Raw genomic sequence first — 24730 nt, forward strand, 5'->3', positions numbered from 1 at the left:
TCACCATGCCTGGCTACTTTTTTTGTATTTTTAGTAGAGATGGGGTTTCACCATGTTGGCTAGGCTGGCCTTGAACTCCTGACCTTAAGTGATCTGCCTGCCTAGGCCTCACAAATTCCTCGGATTACAGGCCTAACTCACCGTGCCCAGCCTTAAATGTTAATTTCTTCTGAAACACTCACAGACATAACCGGAATAACATTTGAACAAATATCTGGGCACCCCATAGCCCAGTCAAGCTGATACGTAAAATTAACAGTCACACCCTGATTTAAGGGTATTGAGGATTTGTTATCATCAGTTGCTATGGGGCCAGTTCCTCACTGTTTTCTGATGAATATCAGGTCAGAAAATCAAACTTGATATCCTTTACCTTATCTAGTACCTGTCTGCAGAAGACGTGCTGGCAGTATTTGTTGCATGTAAATAAACGTAGTTATAAATTGGAAGATCAGGTCTTCTGTAAGCTGACTAGGACAGATATCATGTGACTTCTCCAAGTGAGAAAACAGAGGCTGAAGCTGGGGCATACACTCCTTGGTTCTCCAATCCCACACACAATGAGATGGGGCTGCTGTGACATCATCTGACAATTCATATCCTGCTTTGACCTCTGCAAGTATTGAGATCAGTGAATCCCACCCAGCCCTCATCCCTGTGCCTCTAGACCATTGCTCTGAACTCTCTGATGCTATGCCACCACCTCAAAAGCATGCCCGCTCTGCAGCCTTCTGCCTGGAGGCAGCTCATCCTCCTGTTTTCCTGAACCACAGAGCTTTATTGTCATTGGTGCCCTGGAGTAAGTGGCAATTCAAGCTCCTCTAATTCTAAAATTAAAGCAAATTCCTGGCCCATTTTATATCTTTCGGGGTTATAACTGAGTTGGAAATTGCAGTAAACATGTAAGTGTTGAGTGTTAGCAATAGTGGAGAGGGAGTGGGCTTGAAGTCTGACCTAGGTTCAAGTCATAGCCATGCCATTAATTAGCTGCGTGATTCTGAGCAAGTTTCTTAACGTTTCCCTGCTTGATGTCTTCATTTGAAAGTGGATATAATAGTTCTTACCTTGCAGGGTGGTTTTGAGGGTTAGGATGGGAGTCCACTCTTCTTCCTGTTCCTATTTCTGAGTATTGAGCCATGTAAGGATGTGTGCTCTTCTAGGCTGGACCTGTCTCTTACTGCTTCTTACTGGTAAGAAAACAAAATGCTGCTGGTTCACTGGCCTGAGAAGCCTGACTCTCAGTTCACTGATTCTCTATCTTGAATTGCAGGTGGGTCCTTTTTTTTTTTTTGAGATACAGTCTCGCTGTGTCACCCAGGCTGGCATGCAGTGGCCGGATCTCAGCTCACTGCAAACTCTTCCTCTCAGGTTCAAGTGATTCTCATGCCTCAGCCTCCTGAGTAGCTGCCATTACAGGCGCCTGCCACCATGCCTGTCTAATTTTTGTATTTTTAGTACAGACGGGGTTTTGCCATGTTGGCCAGGCTGGTCTCGAGCTCCTGACCTTAAGTGATCCACCCACCTCAGCCTGCCAAAGTGCTGGAATTACAGGCATGAGCCACCACACCTGGCCAAGCACAGGTAGGGTCTGAATTTCAGTTTTCTAAGAAGGTCCCTTTAGGGTCATGATCAGAAAGCATCCCTGAAATGCCCCTAAGTTTCTGTGAGGAAGAAATGCTTAAGAGGGTGTTTGGGAGGTACCGGATGGGCTGTCTGCTCTCTACTTGCTGGATCATCTACTTTGCTTTAGAATCTTGCTTCTTTAGGCATTGTGTAAGGCTGAATAGTGGTCCTCCATTGAATTCTTAGATCCAATGAATCTGTTACTTTCCATGGCAAAAAGTGCTTTGCAGATGTAATTAAGGTTATAGAACTCAAGATAGAGAGATTGTCTTGGATTATCTAGGTGGGCTCAATATAATCTCTAGAGTCTTTAGAAGCAGAGAAATTTATCTGGTTAGAGTCAGAGAGAAGTGGTAGGGGAGGAAGCAAGAGAGATTAGGCAGAAAGAGAGGTCCTATAGGCGACAGCAGGCTTTCTAATCCTCAGCCCCTGATTGAGAGCATCCATTCAACACTGCAGGCATCTTTCAAGCAAAGGCAGAGAGAAGAACAGGGAGAAAAAAAATTCCTAGGGAAAACATTGAGAAAAGATAACCAGAGGGGGCTGAGACATGCATTCTCAGAGCACCCACCCCCTTCACCTACCTGCCATGAGGTAGAATAAATGCAGGAGTGAGGTAGAGGCAGAGATATTCTGGGAGGATGGAGCATCTATCCTGTCTTTTCCATGGAAATATAAGTATCTTGGGGTAGCAGAGGCGGGGAATGTAAGAAGGTGTGGAGAAGGGCGGGGGGTGGTCAACATTCTTCTTTAACATACATCAAAAAATTGTGTTTACATGTGGGTGTGTGGCTGGGGTGCTGCATTTCCTCCTCTTTTATGGAACATTTTTGTCTTAGTACTTGGATTATTGGAAACTTTCAGCAGCACCTGTGCAGGAAGAATGCCTAAGGCAGGAGGAAGGAAATGAGGATGATATTAAAGTGAAACAAAACATGAAGTTCTTGAATATGAGGTCATCTGGTCCAACCTCCTATTGTCTCTGCAAACTTCCTTGGCTCTGGGGTTGGGCATGCATGTCAGACGAAGGGAATAAGACCACCCTATCTCTCCAGCCACAGTGGTCGAGACTTAGGATAGTGCATCTGCCCCCTTTGGAAGCAGTGAGATGCCATCTCAGGACTCCCACTACTCCCACTACTACTGTGGGAGAAGTGTGCCCTTTTTTCCACTGGACTTATACAAATGAAAATTTAAGTCCAGAGCTGGTAACAGTCACTCTGCCACCAAGAGGAGAGGGCTTGTTGAGAGTGAAGCCCACATAGGGGTGGACAGAGCAGGGGGAAGGAGAAAAAATTGACCTTAGGAGTCTTGTTTACATGTTAGAATTCTTCAGTCATACTCACCCATCAATGAGAATGCTTGATTGAGCTTGAGTTGAGTTTTCTATTTGCAGTCAGAATATTCCTGATAGACATGGTTTCACTATGTAGATATAGGGAATGTGAGGACTAGAGTAGGGGAAGTGACATCTCCAATGACACATGTATAACAAGTAGGATTTGTCATCTCAGCCATTCACTTCTATGGAACCTCAGAATCAGGAAACCAGCTACATTCTGAATACATGGAGTTTGCACAGATAGCCCTGTAATCTATGCAACTTATTTCTGAATTCCCTCACAATTGGTTTTAAGGGCTGTTCCTGGTTGTCATATTCTCCTATTCTAGTACTTCTGGTAATAGCTGGAATTGAGTCAAACACTCTTACCATACAATTGAATTAACATGTTTAATTGACAGGGAACATAATATCTCTCTCACACACACACACACACCCCACCACATTTAATGAGTGATGCTTTACATCTGGAGAGAGGGCTACTATTTTTTTTTTTTTTTTGGTAGAGATGGGGTCTCACTATATTGCCCAGGCTGGTCTCAAACTCCTGGGCTCAACTGACCCACCTGCCTAGGCGTTCCAAAATGCTGGGATTATAGGTGTGAGCCACCATTCCCAGCTGAGATACTTTTTAGTCCAGATGTCACCATTTTCCTGTTTTGAAGATATGTCCCTGAATGCTCCCCATGGTCAATGTTGGTCATTCATTTATTTGGTTTGGTTCTTCCCTTTTTGCACTCTAATGGTACCAAATCCTGGAAGTGGAGAGGATATTCTTTTTGCTGATTTGCTACCTCTCTGTACCCACAGTATACATTTATTCACACAGGTGCTGGTATTGGAATCTGCTATGGAAACTCCTTTCTGAGAACCTTTAATGTATTCATTCATTCAACAATTATTGAATGCTCACTATGTGCTAGACACAAAGGTATGAACAACAAAGATGACTCTCAGACCTCACAGAAGGTTCCAGTACATTCCAGAGGGTCTGGGAGCTATGTTGTCTTTCTTGTAGCTTCTCTGGATTTACACAGCCTGTGGATTTATGTTGATAATTCTTTGCTTATTGTGTACAGGGTGAAGGTTGCTGGTAGGGAGGGAAACATCATTTCACTGGTGATAATCATCTTTCTGTTTTTAATCCTTCCCCCTGTCGGCTGGAGAGTCATTTCCTGTTCCCCTTTGTTTCTCCCTTCCTGTTGATCCGCTAAAGACCTCTCTACCCACTGACTCCTCTGGCCCCTTTGTAGTGCATTCTAGTACCAAGTGTATGCTAGCAGACTTAATACGTGCTGAACAGTGTACTAAGCGCCTTACACGCACCATTCGTTTAACCCTTACTACAACACTGTGAAGCTCTGCAGTTGTGTCTCAGAAGTGGATTTTTTCTAAGGTGAATTAACATCAAATATTTATTTCAATTTTATTCAATTTCACTCTATTAGTATTTGAATTCTGAATGTTCAGAATTAGATTTGGTTAATATTTAGCCTTGACTGCCTCTTAGATGCCTGGTGCTTCAGTAATATGCAATAGACAGAGACAACATTAAGCCTAAGGTGCATTCATACCACTGCTGACCTGGCCTGGCCACTTTGGGCATCAACATTATGAGCATGGTTGAGGTCTACACACTTCAATGATCTAACTTCAGGAATACCTACTGAGGAGAGCGGGACATCCGGCTTCTGAGTAGGAAGCTCCGTAATGCCAGCAATGAAAGAGAAAATTAAATATGGGTGATGTTGAGAAAGGCAAGATTTTTGTTCAGAAGTGTGCCCACTGCCACACCATGGAAAAGGGAGGCAAACACAAGACTGGGACTAATCTCCATGGTCTCTTCATGTGAAAGACAGATCAGGCTGTTGGATTCTGTTAACACAGACGCCAATAAGAACAAAGGCATCACCTGGAGAGAGGATGCACTGATGAAATATTTGGAGAATCCCAAGAAGTAGATATCTGGAACAAAAATGATCTTTGCTGGCATTAAGAAGGCAGAAAGAAGGCAGAAAGGGCAGATTTGATAGCTTATATAAAAAAAAAGCTACTATGAGTAATAATACATCACTGCCTCATTTATTACAAAACAGAAATGTCTCATGACTTTTTTATGTGTACCATAATTTAATAGATTACATACACCAGAATTCAGATCATGAATGACTGAAAAAACATTTTCATTGGGCAGTCCTGATTTAAAACTAAGATTGTCTTGTGGTTAAATTAATATGTTTGGGTTTTTTGAATTTTGTTTGTTTTGTTTTTTTTTTTGAGATGGAATTTTGCTCTTGCTGCCCAGGCTGGAGTGCGATGGCATGATCTTGGCTCACTGCAACCTCTACCTCCCGGGTTTAAGTGATTCTCTTGCCTCAGTCTCCTGAGTAGCTGGGATTACAGGTGTCTGCCACCACGCCCGGCTAATTTTTGTATTTTTAGTAGAGACAGGGTTTCACCATGTTGGCCAGGCTGGTATGAAACCTGGTATCAAACCTGTTGGCCAGGCTGGTATTAACCTCAAGTGATCTGCCTGCCTTGGCCTCCCAAAGTGCTGAGATTACAGATGTGAGCCACTGCACCTGGCCTCATTTGTCTCTTAAAGGCAAGGGCTGAAGATAATATAGCAATGTCTTTTTTATATTTTTGGCCTTAACTATGCCAATCTAATTAGAATTCACTGTATTTAAAATGGTTCCTTTTACTTATTGAAACACATTTTAGTGTGGTTTATGTGTAATATCAAATGAAGATTATTTAACTCTTCTCACATTTTATAGATGATCTATAAAGTCAGATGTCTTTAAAATAGTAGCAAGTTAAACTTCACTCTTGAATTCTTACTATCTAAGTCAGACTACATTATAATTTAAGATTGTCTTTAAACAGCCATCCAGGAACATAAAACTGTAGAACTACTGTGTATTTGTGATTGGGAATAGTGCTTTTGCCAACTTATAAGGATTAGAGTAGAGGAGATATACACAAATTTAAAAATTATGTGTGATCATAAGACTTAAGATAATTAAAAACAAAATCACAGATCAAAAAAACAAAAAACAAAAAAACCTACTGAGAGCCAGATCAAGATGGAGTAGTAAGTTCAAGAACTGCCTCCACTCTAGAAACATAGGCCTACTGAATAAAGTAAAAAGAGAAAACAGAAGGTGGCATAGTCAGGCCCAACTACAAGACAAGCGCTTTTGAAGATCCAGGCTGGCACAGAAACACAAACTGTGATCAGGGCTGCAAGGCTTGGTGGACTTGCTGGGTTTTGGATGCAGTGGCAGTCAGTGGTGGCAAAGGAGTCAAAAGTGTTCCCTGAGAGATGGGAAAGCAGAGGCAGGTTCTCAGCCACGGAGGCCCAGGGCTAAGGTGAGTTTCATGTCTCATCTCCTATCCTTATAGAAGGAGGCTGGAAATGAACATGTGCCAAGTGCTGAAGGAGCAGTGGCTTCCATCCAGCTCTAGACTGGGAGAGAAGGATGAGACAAAGCCTTGTGACCAAGAACTGAGTTGAGCTTCCCCTGTGACTCATCCTGGGATTGCCATGGCCCAGTGGTTCTGCAGGACTGTTCCTCTCACTGCCCTTACCAGAACTGAACCTGGATTGGAGACCCCCAAAGCTTTCAACAGGATAATTGAATATGGAGGTGGAGTAGGGGGAGTGAGAGGGAATGAAAAACAAAACGAAAAGAGCAAAATACTTCAAATTCCAAATGGGACTATAAACTAAATACAAAACTGAAGGAAAAAAGCTAATGCTAAAAAAAAGTCAACAAACTCTCTGGGCTCGGTGGCTCACGCCTGTAATCCCAGCACTTTAGGAGGCCGAGGCGGGCGAATCACTTGAGGCCAGGAGTTCAAAACAGCCTGGCCAACATGGCGAAACCCCGCCTCTACTAAATAAAAAAATTAGCCAGGCATGGTGGCGGGCGCCTGTAATCCCGGCTACTCGGGAGCCTGAGGCAGGAGAATCACTTGAACCGATGAGGTGGAGGTTGCAGCGAGCCGAGATCTCACCATTGCACTCCAGCCCTGGGTGATAAGAGCGAGACTCCGTCTCAAAAAAAAAAAAAAAAAAAAAAAAAAAAAAGTCAACAAACGAACAATCAACATGGATTCACTTCAGATAAAATTAATTTTACAGAATGATCAGATAAAACTTTAAAGTAAATGTATTGATTATTTCAAATAAATAAATGAAATCAAAACTTCCATTGAAAAATAAAAAATTTTGAAAAAAGAGGCTGAAAACAGAATGAGGAGATATGAAAAGGACCAATTAGAAAATCTGAACATTAAAAAATATAGTCATTGAAATAAAAAAATGTGGAGCCTTGAGTTAGAATGGCTGTTTGGCTACCTGTGCTTAATTTCACTATCATTCAAATGCATAGTAGAACTACAATAAAGGGATGAACAAACCAACAAGAATGGGGATAATAGGTGAAGAGACAATGGTAACAGTATTTTGGAATCTGGAAAGGAGATGGAAGAGTGGTAACTGATTAGTAGAACTGAGAAAGCCAGATCTTAAGTTATTACAGTCTCAGAAAGCTGAGAAAAATCCAGTTAATGCTGAGAGTCCTCTAAGTTTCATGAACTAGCACTTCTAGAAACCTCTAGACCTGGAGTAAAAGGCCCTGAGTAGCTGGGACTACAGGCAAGTGCCACCAGGCCTGGCTAATTGTTTTTTTTTTTTTTTTTTTTTTTGGTAGAGATGGTGTTTTGCCATGTTGCCCAGGGTGGTCTTGAACTCCTGAACTCAAGCGATCTGCCCACCTCAGTCTCCCAAAGTTCTAAGAGATTACATGCCTGAGCTATTGCGCCCGACCAAGATATTGTATTTATGAAGCAGACGGAATGTTAAAAATTCAGATAATCTTTTAAAAAAATAACATTTGGAAATTGAAAACATGATGGCAGAAATGAAAAAATTCAGTCAAAGTGCTGGAAGTCAAAGTTGAGGAATTTACCTAAAAATTAGAACAAAAATATATAGAGAGGAAAATAAGAGAGAGACACAAGAAAATTGGAGGATCAGTCCAGGAAATTTAACATATGAACAACACGAAGTTCTAGAGGAAAAGAACAGAAAAAGTACATGGCAAAAAATTAATAAAATAATTCAAGAAAATTTCCCAGATTAAAACACATGGATTTTGGATATTGAAAGGGGTTAGCAAATGCCCAGTAAAATGGATGATAATAGACCTACACCAAGGCATATCCTTGTGGAATTTCAGAACCTAGGGATAAAGAGAAGATGCTAACAGCTTTTAGAGGACAACACCACCACCACCACCAACACATATTCAGAGGACGAGGAATCAGAATGGCTTCTGTATTCCAACAAGAACACAGAAGACAGTGGAGCAATTCCTTTTACATTATAAATGGGAAGAATAGAATTCTACATTTAGACAGCCTATCAATAAAGTATAAATTTTCTAAAACTCAAAAAAACAATCAAAATCTCTACGGAAGAATATGCTCCACAAATATGAAATAGTAAACCAAGAAAGGGAAATAAATGGGATACAGGAAACATGAGATCTAATCCAGAAGAGAGGTGAAGGCAACCTCTAAAATGATGGTGATGAAGAATCTAAGGGTAGGTCTGAGGGGAATCGCTATGTACGAAGAATAAAAAGTAGTTCATATTAGGGCAAGTTTGAAACTTTTTGTCCAAGCAGAATGCAGTTTTTATCTGTGTTGTTCCAGAGTGAGCTGAAAGGCATTGTGAAAACTGAAGGAACCATTACTTTTACTGACAGTATCCACAATGATGAGGCTTTATGGCTGAGACAGAATAATAAGACAATAAAACATATGCCTTAATGTGAATGATTATACTAAAGTTTGATGTGTCTTTTTTTAATCATCAGCAAGGAGAAAGCCTTCATCAGAAGGAGAGAGCCATCTGATTTCCATAGGCTCCAATGCAGAAGAAAACATTAACTGATCTTAATCAAAGAAATATTCCTGTATATACAGATATGCCCATATATACATGCAATAACTCTAGAAGGATATACAGTATAATAATCTGATATTTACACTTTTGTTCCTTTTGAATTTTGTACTGTATGCATGTATTACTTATTCAAAAATTGAATACAATAAAAGTTTTTCTAAAAATTTAATTCAAATGCCCACAATTTTATTTTATTTTATTTTATTTTTATTTTTATTTTTTTAATTTTTATTATACTTTAAGTTTTAGGGTACATGTGCACACTGTGCAGGTTAGTTACATATGTATACATGTGCCATGCTGGTGTGCTGCACCCATTAACTCGTCATTTAGCATTAGGTATATCTCCTAATGCTATCCCTCACCCCTCCCCCCACCCCACAACAGTCCCCAGAGTGTGATGTTCCCCTTCCTGTGTCCCTGTGTTCTTATTGTTCAATTCCCACCTATGAGTGAGAATATGTGGTGTTTGGTTTTTGTTCTTGCGATAGTTTACTGAGAATGATGATTTCCAATTTCATCCATGTCCCTACAAAGGACATGAACTCGTCATTTTTTATGGCTGCATACTATTCCATGGTATATATGTGCCACATTTTCTTAATCCAGTCTATCATTGTTGGACATTTGGGTTGGTTCCAAGTCTTTGCTATTGTGAATAGTGCCGCGATAAACATATGTGTGCATGTGTCTTTATAGCAGCATGATTTGTAGTCCTTTGGGTATATACCCAGTAATGGGATGGCTGGGTCAAATGCTATTTCTAGTTCTAGATCCCTGAGGAATCGCCACACTGACTTCCACAATGGTTGAACTAGTTTACAGTCCCACCAACAGTGTAAAAGTGTTCCTATTTCTCCACATCCTCTCCAGCACCTGTTGTTTCCTGACTTTTTAATGATTGCCATTCTAACTGGTGTGAGATGGTATCTCATTGTGGTTTTGATTTGCATTTCTCTGATGGCCAGTGATGGTGAGCATTTTTTCATGTGTTTTTTGGCTGCATAAATGTCTTCTTTTGAGAAGTGTCTGTTCATGTCCTTTGCCCACTTTTTGATGGGGTTGTTTGTTTTTTTCTTGTAAGTTTGTTTGAGTTCATTGTAGATTCTGGATATTAGCCCTTTGTCAGATGAGTAGCTTGCAAAACTTTTCTCCCATTCTGTAGGTTGCCTGTTCAGTCTGATGGTAGTTTCTTTTGCTGTGCAGAAGCCCTTTAGTTTAATTAGATCCCATTTGTCAATTTTGGCTTTTGTTGCCATTGCTTTTGGTGTTTTAGACATGAAGTCCTTGCCCATGCCGATGTCCTGAATGGTAATGCCTAGGTTTTCTTCTAGGGTTTTTATGGTTTTAGGTCTAATATTTAAGTCTTTAATCCATCTTGAATTAATTTTTGTATAAGGTGTAAGGAAGGGATCCAGTTTCAGCTTTCTGCACATGGCTAGCCAGTTTTCCCAGCACCATTTATTAAATAGGGAATCCTTTCCCCATTTCTTGTTTTTCTCAGGTTTGTCAAAGATCAGATAGTTGTAGATATGCGGCGTTATTTCTGAGGGCTCTGTTCTGTTCCATTGATCTATATCTCTGTTTTGGTACCAGTACCATGCTGTTTTGGTGACTGTAGCCTTGTAGTATAGTTTGAAGTCAGGTAGCGTGATGCCTCCAGCTTTGTTCTTTTGGCTTAGGATTGACTTGGCGATGCAGGCTCTTTTTTGGTTCCATATGAACTTTAAAGTAGTTTTTTCCAATTCTGTGAAGAAAGTCATTGGTATCTTGATGGGGATGGCATTGAATCTATAAATTACCTTCAAATGCCCACAATTTTAAATGCATGTGTTTAGAAACAATAATTTTACTTGTAGGGATATATTGTACAGACAAAACCTCACATTTTCAAAATTATGTATATAAGGTCATTTAATACAGAATTAATAACAAAACAGTGGAAACAACTTTTACAAGGGACTTGTGAAGTAATAATTAATGTTCATCCATTCAATGGGACAGTATGAAGGCTTTTAGTAGATGATGAGGCTCATTATGTATTGATGTGAATATTTTGTCAAATGAACAAAAGCAAGATGAAGAAAAGTATGCAGAGTATGCCACATGTGTGTATAAAAGGAAGAAAAAACTTCTTGGGTGTGTGTCTCTCTGTGTGTGAAAATGTGCATCCATTTTCACATATATGCATAGAATAAAAGAATCAGAAAAGCTATCAGAAAAAATAAACATAATTGATAACATTGTTTGCCTTCGAGAAGAGAAACTGGGTGGCAAGAAGAAAAGTTGAACTTTTCATTGTTTACCCTGTTTAACCTTTGGCTTTGAACCATATGAATGTACTCCTTATTGAAAATTAGGCTGGGCGCGATGCCTCATGCCTGTAATCCTAGCACTTTGGGAGGCTGAGGCGGGCAGATCACTTGAGGTCAGGAGTTTGAGACCAGCCTGGCCAACATGGTGAAACCCCACCTCTTACTAAAAATGCAAAAAAATTAGCTGGGCATGGTGGCATGTACGCCTGTAGTCCCAGCGTCTCTGGAGGCTGAGGCAGGAGAATTGCTTGAACCTGGGAGGTGGACATTGCAGTGAGCCGAGATCGCACCACTACGCTTCAACCTGGGTGACAGAGCAAGACTCCATCTCAAATAAATAAATAAATAAATAAATAAGTTTTAAAATACATAATGAATGGGATGAACTCAACATCAGACACAGGAAAATAAATAATTAGAGAATTGGAAGGAAGAATATAAGAACTCACTGAGAATGCAATACAGAGTGTAGAAAAATGAAAACTATGCGAGAGGAGGTACAGCAGGGGAATGACAGACTGACAGCACACTTCTTATCATAATAACATATATTAGAAGATAATGGAATATTCACTTTGAAATACTGAAGGAAAAAGCTGTCAACCTAGAATTTTGCCATCAGCTAAACTATTATTCAAGAAAGAGGGTTAAATAAAATCATCTTTAGACATACAAATACTAAAAGATTTGTCACTACACAGTATAAGACTATAAGACTATTAAAATTTGTTTCAGAAACAGAAGCCTGCAGAAGATGTGGAATACAAGAAGCAAACTTCTCTCTCACCTCCAAAACAGTGGAGTTGTTCTAGTGAACACAGAGATTGATGAAAAGTGTTGGAAATCTTAATTAATGATTAGAGCCTAAGAATTATAACTTAAAAAACAATAATAATGCAGTGGAGAAGTTGTTCAAGGTAGGGGGGCACTTAAAGCGCAGTAAAGATCTTACTGCAGTTGGAAGAAATTAAATGTCTGTAAACATTGACAGAAAAATTTTTAGTTAAGTATGTCATTTAAAAAATTCAGTGTGGCTATTAAAATAATAGAAATAAAAGTTATGGCTTCCAAATCAGAATGGAATACACATTATCAAACAAAAGAAGGTAGAAAAGAGGAAAAACACAGGATGGTAAATAGAAAACACAAAATATGGTACTGTGATTAAGTCTAAATAAACGACTACATTAAAAAAGTGTAAATGGATCAGATTTATCTATTAAAAGAAGCAATCAAATGAACAAAAAAATGCAACTCTATGCTTTCTACAAGACACAGAATGAACGCACACACATACACACATATGGGCTGAATATAAAAAAATGGAAAATGATGGGAAGTCCTAGCCAGAGCAAACAAGCATGAGAAAGAAATAAAATATATTGAAATAGGAAAAGAAGAAGTCAACCTATCTTTCACTGATGATATTCCACCCTTCGAAAACTTTAAAGACTCTGCCAAAAGGCTCATCCTAGAATGGATACATAACTTCAGTAAAGTTTCAGGATACAAAATCAGTGTACAAAAAATCAGCAGCATTTCTATACACCAATAACATTCAACCTGAGAGTCAAGTCAAGAACATAATACTATTTACAGTAGTCACACACACACACACACACACAAATACTTAGGAATACATTTAACCAAGGAGATGAAAGATCTCTACAAGGAGAACTACAAACTCCAGCTGAAAGAAATCATAGGTGATATACACAAATGGAAAAACATTTAATGCTTTTGAGTTGGAAGAATCAATATTGTTAAAATGTCCATACTGCCCAAAGCAATCTACAGATTCAGTACGATTTCTATCAAACCACCAGTGTCATATTTCACAGAATTAGAAAAAACTAAAATAGTTCATATGGAGCCAAAAAAGAGCCTGAGTAACCAAAGCAATACTAAGCAAAAAGAACAAAGCTAGAGGCATCACATTACCTGACTTCAGACTATACTACAAGGCTATGGTAACCCAAACAGCATAGTACTGGTACAAAAACGGACACATACATTGTATTAGTCTGTTCTTGCACTTCTATAAAGACCTATCTGTGACTGGGTAATTTATAAAGAAAAGAGGTTTAATTGGTGTATGGTTCTGCAGGCTGTATAGGAAGCATGGCTGGGGAGGCCTCAGGAAACTTATAATCATGGTGGAAGGTGAAAGGAAAGCAGGCATATCCTACATGGCTGGAGCAGAAGGGAAAGAGAGGGGGACATTGCCACACACTTTTAAACAACCAGATCTCCTGAGATACTCACTCACTATCATGAGGACAGCAAGGGGGGGAATCTACCCCCAGGATCCAGTTACCTCCCACCAGGCCCCACCTCCAACCTTGGGGATTACAATTTGACATGAAATTTGGGCGGAGACACAAATGCAAACCATATCACACACCAATGAACAGAATAAAAAACTGGAAATAAAGCCATACGTCTTCAGCCATCTGATCATCAACAAATTGACAAAAATAAGCTAAGGAGAAAGGACTTCCTATTCAATAAATGGTGCTAGGATAGCTGGCTAGCCACATGCAGAAGAATGAAACTGGATCCTTACCTTTTGCCACATACAAAAATTATCTCAAGATGAATCCAAGATTTAATATGACACCTCAAACTATAAGAATCCTAGAAGAAAACCCGGAAAACACCATTCTGGACATCGGCCTTGGGAAAGAATTTATGGCTCAATCATGAAAAGCAATTGCAATAAAAATAAAAATTGGTAAGTGGGACCTAATTAAAGAGCACAGCAAAACAAACTATCAGGCAGAATAAACCCACAACCTACAGAATGAGAGGAAATTTTTGGAAACTATGCATTCAACAAAGGTCTAATATTCAGAGCCTACAAGGAATTTAATTCAACAAGCAAAAAACAAATAACCCCATCAAATGTGGGCACAGGCTGGGCGTGGTGGCTCACACCTGTAATCCCAGCACTTTGGGAGGCTGAGGTGGGTGGATCACGAGGTCAGGAGTTCAAGACCAGCCTGGCCAAGATGGTGAAACCCCGTCTCTACTAAAAATACAAAAATTAGCTGGGCATGGTGGTGGGCGCCTGTAATCCCAGCTACTTGGGAGGCTGAGGAAGATAATTTCTTGAACCCGGGAGGCGGAGGTTGTAGTGAGCCGAGTTCACGCCACTGCACTCCAGCCTGGGTGACACAGCGAGACTGTGTCAAAAAAATAAAAACAGTGGGCACAAGACATGAACAGACACTTATCAGAAGAATACATACAAGTGGCCAGTAAACATATAAAAAAATGTTCAACATCACTAACCAACAGACAGAAGCAAATCAAAACCACAGTGAGGCCAGGTTCAGGAGCTCATGCCTATAATTTCAGCACTTTGGGAGGCTGAGGCAGGAAGTTAGAGACCAGGCTGGGCACCATAGGAAGAATTCATCTTTACAAAAAATTTTTTAAAAAAATTAACCAGGTGTAATGGCATCTACCTGTAGTCCCAGGTACTTGGGAGGCTGAGATGGGAGGATCGCTTGACGCCAGGAGTTTGAGGCTGCAGTGAATCATGATCACACCACTGCACTCCAGCCTATGTGACAGAGTAAGACCTTGTCTCAAAACAACAACAACAACAACAAAAACACCAAAACCAGAAACCTCCCAAACCCCTGATAAGATACCATCTCATACCAGTTAGAATAGCTAATACTAGGTTGGTGCAAAAGTAGTTGTGGTTTTTGCCACTACTAATATTAAAAAGTCAAAAAATAACAGATGCTGATGAGGCTATGGAGAAAAGGAAACATTTATACACTGCTGGTGGGAATGTAAATTAGTTCAGCCACTGTGGAAAGCAGTTTGGAGATTTTTCACAGAACTAAAAAAAGAATTGTCATTTGATGCAGCAATCCCATTACTGAGTATATATCCAAAAGAAAAGAAATGGCTGGGCATGGTGGCTCACGTCTGTAATCCCAGCAATTTGAGAAGCCGAGGTGGGCAGATCACTTGAGGTCAGGAGTTCGAGACCAGCCTGGCCAACATGGTGAAACCCCATCTCTACACAAAAATTATCTGGGAGTGGTGGCGCATGCCTGTAGTATCAGCTACTCGGGAGGCTGAGGCAGGAGAATCGCTTGAACCGGGAGGTGGAGGTTGCAGTAAGCAGAGATTGTGTTATTGCACTCCAGCCTGGGTGACAGAGCAAGACTCTATCTCCTGAAAAAAACCACACACACACACAAAAAAAAAACCCCACAAAACAAAACAGAAAGCAAAAGAAAAGAAATAATTCTATCATGGCAGTATTCACAATAGCAGAGACATGGAATCAACCTAGGTACCCAACAACAGTGGATTGAATAAAGAAAATGTGATACACATGCACCGTGGAATACTACACAGCTATACAAAAGAATGAAATCATGTCCTTTGTAGCAACATGGATGCAGCTGGAAGCTATTATCCTAAGCAAATTAACACCGGAACAGGAATACTGCATATCGTCACTTTTAAGTGTAAGCTAAACAATGGGTATTCATGGACATAAAGATGGCGATAATAGACACTGGTGACTACTAAAGAAGGGAGGCATGGAGGAGGGATAAAGGGTTGCAAAACTATTTGATACTATGCTCACTACCTGGGTGGGGGATAAATTGTACTCCGAACCTCTGCATTATCCAATATACTCATGTAACAAACCTGCATGTGTACCCCTGAAACTAAAAAAAAAGTTGAAATTATAAAAACATTTAAAAGGAATAGTAAAAAAGAAAACCATGCATTCGTGTATAACACAAATACTAACAAAAAAGTTAATGTAGCAAAATTAACATAGGACAAAATAGTTCTTAAGGCAAAAAACATTTCAGGAATAAAGAGAGAAACCACACACACACAAATGTAACCACAGATCAAGAAGATATAACAATAATGAAATTACATGCTTCTAATACAATTATCATACATTGCAACACTGAAAGAAATGAAGTAAACGTTGACAGAATTATAAGGAGAAGGTCAAAAAACCATAGTAGGAGATAAACACAACTTACAAATCCAGCAGACAAAAATTAGAATGGCAATAGCAGCTTTGAATAATAAAATTAGCCAGTGTGATATATGTATATGTATATATCTAAAAACTTTACACTCAAGTGCATATGTTATTTTCAAGTATAGACAGAACCTTTGTAAAATTTGAACATGAAGGCAAAGAGGAAATCTCAACAACTTTCAAAGAATTGCTATCCTACTGATCACAATATCTTACCACACAATTAAATTAAAAATAATTTAAATGATAAAAAGTAGTTTAGCAATCCTACTCTCTTTCTCTTCTTACTTATCAGGAAACTGAAGAATGACACTCTGAATAACTCATGAATTAAAGAAGAAATAAATACCATATTAATAACATTTATAACAATAATATATAAATATTTGATCTAATTAAAGTGATGTCTACAGGTAAATATATAGCTTAATTGCATTTATTATAAACAAAAAATGAAAATAAATGTATGGTATTATATTAAAAATAGCTTTAAAAGAATAATGAAGCAATCTATGAAGGTGGAAGGAGGGAAATAATAAATATAAGAGCAAGAATTAATGAAATAGAAAATAAGATAGAAAACCAAAGTTTGTTTTTGGAAAAAAGGAAAACAATAAAATAGGCAAACCCTAGCAAGATTTACCACTAAATAAGAAAAGATATATGGGTAAGTAATATTAAGAACAAAAGCTTGGTCAACACACAGGATCTTAAATATCTTGAATATCTGGATTTATGAGAGGTGGCATTACCAATTGATGGAGAAGGATATTATCAATATGAAAAAAGCCCCTAAATTTAAATGTCTACTTCATAGCATACACAAAGATCAAGTCCAGTTACATTAAAGACTAAGTATAAAAATCAAAATCCAAGCATTTTTTAGAATACATTTTAGTCAAGGCGCAAAAGCACAAGCCATACAGGAAAAGATTTGTACATTTTACTACATAAAACTTAAAGATGTTAAATGAAAACAACAACAACAGCAAACTCAATATAAACAAAGTTAAAAGACTGGGAACATATTGATTATAAAACAAAGTATGAGTTTTTAGAAAACACAAATAATGTCTACAAATTATTAAAAAATGGTTAAAAACTACTGAATAGAAAACTGAAAGTGCATAAGAACGGGAATCCATTTGGCCAATAAACATTTGACAAGATGCCTAACCCACAGATGGCGGAAACTGTCAGAGGGTTGTAATTACATCGTGCTGGTTTTGTATGAGAAATTGGTAACTCTCAAACACTGCTGGTGGGAATATAGTTGGGGCAACCCCTTTGGAGAGTAATTCAGCATTGTTTAGTGATGTGAGATGTGTCCATTTAGGTCACCCTCAAGCAGCAGTTCTCAAACTTTAGCTTGATTCAGCATCACCCGGAGGGCTTGTTAAAGCATGTATTGCTAGACCCCACTCCTAGAGTTTCTGGTTCAGTAGGTCCGAGGAAGGAGTGGATTTGCATTTCCAACATGTTCCCAGGTGATGCTGCTGCTGCAGGCGACCACACTTTGAGAACCACTCCTTTAGACAGCCTTTTGCAGATGCGCACAATAAGACGAGTCATGAGAATGTTTATTGTGAGGAATAGTAGAAAATTAGACACATCTTCAATGCCTATTAATGAGAGAATGAATAAGTATACAGTTTTAAAAAATACAACAGAAGATACATGGAAATTAAAATGAATGAGCTAGAGCTGCAAGTATCAACATAAAAATATTAAAAACAACGCTCTAAGAAGAAAGCAAATTGCAAAGTGTAGAGGTTAATCCACTATGCCTATTTTAAAATATGCAAAATAAAATAAAATAATGTTCATGGATGACAAATAGTATGAATCATTTGTGAGCATGATAAATACTGAATTTACCATATTGGTTAATTTTGAGGAGGAGGGGAGGGTGCAAGGGTGATGGGACTGAAAACAAACAGAAGGCCTCAACTGTATCTACATTTTTATCTGTCTATCATCGATTTATCTATCTATCTTCACCATTATAATCATGATCATCATCATCTATTAATATATATATGTCTTTGTTTCTCTCAGTCTATCAATCATATTTTTACAAAAAAAGGATGTGGAATAATTATTGCCAAAAGTTAATAATTGATAAAGCTGGATAGCAGTAAACATTATATTATGTTCCTTCTTGTGTATAAAGTTGATTATTTCATGATAAAAATACAATGAAAAGAAATGCCTGCAAAAAATACTGTGCCAGACTCTGTTTCTGAATGCTGTTAAGGCTGAAAAACAACATGTTGAGATTGAGCCTCTACTGTGGAATGAGATTTATATATGATCTTGTAGACCTCATCATCATCATCATAATATATTAAAATTGGAAGTACAGTGAATGATTTCAAATCTCTTCTCAGAGGGGTGGTGAAGGTTCTTGGCTTTTTGTTCTAGTCTGTGTTCTTCCTTTGCCAGTGTTGGTTCTGTAGCCCCACTTCCTTTGCCAGTGGGGTTCTGTAGCCCCAACATTGGAGGTTGGGATATTTGATTCCTCGGGCAAGAGGAAAATAATAGGAATATGATCATTCAAAGCCTCTTTTATTACTTTCACACACACAGGAGAATTCTGCCTTTAATTGCTCAGTTTCTGAACTTTTGTGATGTGAAACTGGGACAACAGATAGAGTGGCAAAACTCAAGGAGCTATCAAGGCTGTACTGGTTTACACTGTAAAGCCAGAAAGACATAGTGTTCCAGAAAGGAGAGGAGAAAGGCAGGAACCAGTGGGGCCTGGGCTGGAGAGCAGAGGTTTGGAGTTTGCCTCTATTTCCTTTGTTCTCCAGGTGGCTGTTTCCCTCTGAATGTCCTTGGCCTGAAGACATGGTGTTCTTCCTAGTTGCTTTTGATCAGCCTTACATGTGAATGCAGAAGAGGATTTTTTAATTTTTAAATTTTTTTTATTTTTTAGATTTGCAGAGTGAGAGTCATTGACAGATTGGGTCAGAGCTGCAAAGAGGTTTTTCCATTGAGTGGGAATGCAGATACGGCACGGTTCAACATCCTTCCTGCCTAGAGCAGCCTGAAGTGTCGTGGTATAATGATCTTATGTCTACTGTCAGGTGGACAAAGCCCTCAACTTTGTTTCCTTATTTATCTCTAAGTACATCCTTGTCATGTAGTTTTATTTTCCTAATTTTAGAAAGGTAGCAGGTCTATGAAGAGGCTTATGTAGGATTCAAGTCCAAGTGTTAAAGCAAACTAAATATGGCCTGAGAAGGACTCTGTACTTCTATAGCTGAGTCCTCGTGGATGAGCTGTAACCTAGCGTAATAGATTACAGTGGAACAACAATTATATACAATTTTGTAGACCTCATCATCATAATATATAAAATTGAAAACCTAACTTACTAGTGTGCACCTGTAACAATAGCTGCGTGTTGGCTAATCCTAGCGGCCATACTTCAACCACTCACAGACTGTTGAATATTACTGCCTTCAAATAAGGCAAACGTCCAGCTGTAACCAATCTCACTGTTTCTCACTTCCGATTTCTGTATATCACTTTACCTTTTTTGTCTATACATTTGTTCTGATCACGAGGCACCCCTAGAGTCTCTGTGAATCTGCTGTGATTCTGGGGGCTACCCAATCCACGAATTGTTCATTGCTCAACTAAACTCCTTTAAATTTAATTCAGCTAAAGTTTTTCTTTTATCACAAGTCTGTGATGTTTTACACTGAGCAGTACTGCACTAGGCTTTTTGGGAATGCAGAAAATATAAGACATGGCCCTGTGGTAAAAGATCTTTATTGTTTAGTTGGGAAGACAAGATATTTGCACCTGATACATTAAGGCTGGACCCAAGTCATACAAAATCAAAGAAAATGATCCTATGCGTTGAAGATGTGTTAAAGAACAAGTCATCTATATTGCCTTTGGGCTTTGCCAGCTTTGGTCCAGCTGCCTTCTGTGATCAAACACAGTGGATACTCACCATCCTTGATGTTCTTTTTGCTTTATATTGAAATAACACTGTATTTCCCTTTTGGAGAAAACAATTGCCCAGCCTGTAAACAATCATCAAATGCCCCAGATTAACTCTTTGAAAGGAAGGCAATTTGGCACAGCAACATTCAGGTTAAAAGTGACCCTAAGTCACAGCCTCTATGGAATTGTGAGCTCCTTAAGGGTTGAAGCTGGTACTTCACATCTATATTGCACAGAGCCTGGCCCAGAGTGGCTACTCAGTAATGTCTGGTGTTATCATTGCAGATTATTTTCCAGAAGTGGGGGATAGGGGGCAGGTAGGTGGATGGTGATATCTGACCCACTCTATTGAGGAAGGCCTCACTGCATCTGTGATAAATCTGAACTCTATAGATTTCGTGTCACCATATTCTAGAGTAGTTTGGAGTCAGAGACCTTGGCAAAGAGTCTAGCTGTCACGGAATCTTCCCTGGTTGGCCCCTCATCCTCCACTCTGAGGCATCCGTCGTCCTAATCTACAGATTTGGAACTCCCACGTAGCTTCTGCATACCCTCTGGGACAAAGTTTTTCATAATTTATTATTTTCTTTTCTTTGTTGTCTGAGAGCTTTAAACCTCCATGGAGAAATGGTCCCATGGGTCACCCCTGGGAGAGTTACAGGCACATACGTGGAGTATGAGGCATCTTATAGCCAGCTACAATTCTTGTTACTTCTCTTTCCAGTTCAGCCAGTGGCAGATCTGTGCCCTCTACCTTTGGTTCAGAGAAACTGTGCTCCTTGAATTTGGGGTCTCTGTTCTTCAGTGGGATTCAATAACCTGTCCTGGCCACCAGTTCCAAGGTTCTGGGCATGCTTGGCCTTGGTGTTTCACCCAGAGAAGACACTAGGAAACTAGAGAAGCAGTGGGAGGCAGGTACGTGGCTCCTCTAGAGGCCTATATCCAAAGAGCATGCAAGGCGTGGTGTATGGAAGGAATGTTATCAATCAAATGGATACCAAATCTAGAGGTATGATTCCTGACTTTGGTATAGCCCAATCTTTTCTTCAGAGTTTTCCCAGTTTGTAATCTCATTTTTTGTTGTTCAAAACCTCTTTTTTTTTTTTAAAAAAAATTATTTATTTTATTTATTTTTGAGTCAGAGTCTCATTCTGTCACCCAGGCTGGAGTGCAGTGGTGTGATATCGGCTCACTGCAACCTCCACCTCCTGGGTTCAAGCAATTCTGCCTCAGCCTCCTGAGTAGCTGGGATTACCATGTGTATGCCATCATGCCTGGCTAGTTTTGGTATTTTTAGTAGAGACAGGGTTTCACCATGTTGGCCAGGCTGGTCTCGAACTCCTGACCTCAAGTGATCCACCCACCTCGGCCTCCCAAAGTGCTGGGGTTACAGGTATGAGCCACCACACCCGGCCCAAAAGCTCTTTTACAGAGTCATTGTGGTTTTAAATATCAATTCAGTTTTCAAGTGAGAAAATGGAGGCACACAGAATTCAACTGATTTGCTTAAGCTCTTATAGAGTAGGGGTGCCGAGGGACTTTGTGGGGTTTTAGTTCTCCTTCATCTCCATCTGCCTCCTCAAGCCACCTCAAACCTACAATCTAAACAAAATCAATTTGCTTTTGTTATTCCAGGGCAGCTTCATGACCATTCCCAGAGTCCCACCAGATGGCCATTCCCATGCTGTCCCTTTATTGAAATTCTGTGGTCATCGCATAGTCCATAAGCAATAGAAGCAAAAGAGTAAGCAGGTTTTACCAGAGTGTACCTTTAAAGTTTCAAAGAACCCGCACATCCACTATCTCATCAATTCACAGAATGTTCTGAGAGACAACAAGAATAGATATTATTGCTGCCTAGAGATTAAGAGCTAGAAGCTCAGAAAGCTTGATTCTCACCTTGGTTCCTGTCTGCTATAGTGGACTCTCTGGCTTGGTTTGGGTCTGGGGTCTCTGTCACATATATGGCTGGAGAAGCCTCCCACTTATTTTCTTATACCTCAGTTTCCCATTTGTTCCCATCATAGGCAGACTATATGTCAGTAGCTTTGAGGAACAGATTGTATCTGCTCAGTATTGAAGTCCTGGAATAATGAGAGAAGCGCCCAGTTAATTGATCAGATTTTATTTTAGGAATATCACCCTCCCTGGGGAGGTGGTATGATGGAAAGATGGTGGGCTCTGGAGTCAGACTGGGCTGGATTCTCATCTGGACTCTGTCACTTACTAGCTGGTTGAAGCAGGGATTTTGAGAGCCCCACATACTAGGTCCTTTCCTCTTCCCAGCTACCTGGCAACTAAGCAAACCTAGGGCTTGGTGGAACAGAGTTTGAAAACAGCTGATAGAGTACAGCTTTCCGGGAAATTTAGAATTAAATTCTGTAGCTAAGAAAAAGAAATTATATGTAGAAATCAATTCAATTTGCCTCCCACCCAAGGCCATGAGAGCAGGCTGCTCCAGATATACAAGACATCATTCCTGCAGGCATTGTCAGTCTTGTAGTCCGTTGACAGTAATTGCATGGACAACACCCAAATTGATTGACTTTTCTGTAAGTATTGTTGAACTTCCTTTTCCTTAAATTTCCTTAAAAACAGGTAGCTAGAAATGGAAAGGAAACTAAGTACGCTGCCAACGTACAATCAGGAGCATGCAGCCACCCTTTTATTACATCAGTATATATTTATTGCATGTAGACTACATGTCAGTGACTTTGGCATTAGCAACACAGTAATGAACAAACAAACAAAGGCACTATCTTCAAGGAGCTTCCTTTTGTGTGTGTGTGTGTGTGTGTGTGCGTGATGTTATAGACAAACAAATAAATATCTACCAGATGGCAATGAAGCTGTGACCCAAAAAATCAAACTGAGAAGAGGGTCAGAGAGTGAAAGGAACTGCGTTTTCAGATAGGTGGTCAGAAAGGGCCTCTCTGTTAAGGTGGCCCTTGTGCAGGGAATTGAAGAAGTGCAGGAGGATGCCACACAGAGATGGTAGAGGGAGCGAAAGGAGCAAAGGCCCTAACTTTCCCTTAATGATGTCTCCTTCCATCTTTAGTCCAGCCCAGCAATGTACATGTTATCCTTCCCGTTTGAAGATGAAGACACTGAGGCTCAGAAAGATCAAACGCCTTTCCCAAACTCACAGCTACGGCCTGACGGAGGTAGGGTCAAATGCAGCTCCACTGATTTCAGAGACGGTGCTGTTAACACAGGGGGCTGTCTGCATGTTGGAAAGTGAGATGTGCTGTTGCTGTCACGTTGCAGTGGGAGTGGGGAAGCAGGCTGTGATGAGCTAGACCCAAGAGGAATCAGAGAGCAGGTCTCCGGGCTTCATCCTGGGCATCTCCTAGCCCCGCTGTCTGTCTCATAACACCCACCCACTGCGCCTGCTCACCTCGGTTTGTTGGCTGTTTTTTTTTGAAATCATTTCCTGGATCTTAGTAAGTTTATTTTCCAGTTCCTTTCACTTTTTGGGACTAGGCCCCCAGATGCCAGGTGGAGAGAACTGAAAGAGGGAGAAATCCAGCGTTTCTCACCAGGCTTGTCACGTAGCTACACAAGCAAATAGCTACAGGAACCAAGTTTCAATTTTCGTGCATGGGCCTCAAACTGTTTTTCCATATTTGTTAGGGAAAATCTTGGCCAGGGAGCACCGTCTTTTGAGGACACCAAATTGGGCCAAGTTCCTGTGCGGCCTTTCTCCTTATTTAGTGATTGCCCCGTGTGACCCTCTCCTCTCTGGCTGACCTCTTTTTTCCTGCATGGCACTTGGTGGATAAAGTTCCCTGAACCTTGGAGAGGAAGCGGATGCTGTTAATAGCCCTGGGAGTGTGACTGTGCTTTGCAGCTCACTGGAGCCTGTGGGATATTCCTCCAGCCTTGGCGGGGCTCCGAGCTGCAGGGAAATTAACCTCAGAGTCAGGGCAGGGAGCCAGGGTTGCAGGCACGTTGTCATTGGGTGAAATGAGATGGCAGAGGAAAATGGCACGGTGTGGAGGCTTTTTTTGTCAGAAGCTCTGGGGTTTGGCTCTTCTCTGTGCCATGTAGTTCTTTGATCTTGCCCAAGTTTACTTACTGTCTCTCTGAGCCTTCAGTGATTTCAATTGCGTGAAAACCAAGACAAATAACACCTCTATATCAAGAATAGTTCATAGGATCATAGTACAATATTGTGGGGATTAAGCCAGATGGTATCAGCCCATCAGAATCTAGCCCATGGGAGGGGCTCCGTAAATGACCCTTTCTTTTTGAGACGGAGTCTTGCCCTGTCGCCAGGCTGGAGTGCAGTGGCGCGATCTCAGCTCACTGCAACCTCCGCCTCCCGGGTTCAAGAGATTCTCCTGCCTCAGCCTCCTGAGTAGCTGGGGTGCCCGCCGTGCTACTATAGGGTGTGTCCTACAGGCGCACGCCACCATGACCAGCTACTTTTTGTATTTTTGGTAGAGACGGGGTTTCACCGTGTTGGCCAG

The 24730-nt window shown here is 40.2% G+C and overlaps 1 protein-coding gene, 1 long non-coding RNA gene and 1 pseudogene across 2 annotated transcripts in view; 2 read left to right on the plus strand and 1 right to left on the minus strand.

The window, feature by feature from the left end:
* On the plus strand, window positions 4637-5221 carry CYCSP26 (CYCS pseudogene 26; annotated as a pseudogene).
* Window positions 17339-23737, minus strand: LOC107984331 (uncharacterized). Its single transcript, XR_001748218.1, has 3 exons — window positions 23405-23737; window positions 22158-22342; window positions 17339-17920 (listed from the first exon to the last, which is right to left on the minus strand). It is a non-coding gene; the product is annotated as an uncharacterized LOC107984331 (long non-coding RNA).
* The window catches only part of OR9Q1 (olfactory receptor family 9 subfamily Q member 1), a 157736-nt gene continuing 156204 nt past the window's right edge, over window positions 23199-24730 (plus strand). The window contains exon 1 of the mRNA NM_001005212.4: window positions 23199-23422. The gene's annotated coding sequence lies outside the window, so the exon portion shown is untranslated. The remainder of the gene's footprint in view (window positions 23423-24730) is intronic.

Source organism: Homo sapiens, chromosome 11 (genome assembly GCF_000001405.40).
Source record: "Homo sapiens chromosome 11, GRCh38.p14 Primary Assembly".
NCBI classification, from domain to species: domain Eukaryota; kingdom Metazoa; phylum Chordata; class Mammalia; order Primates; family Hominidae; genus Homo; species Homo sapiens.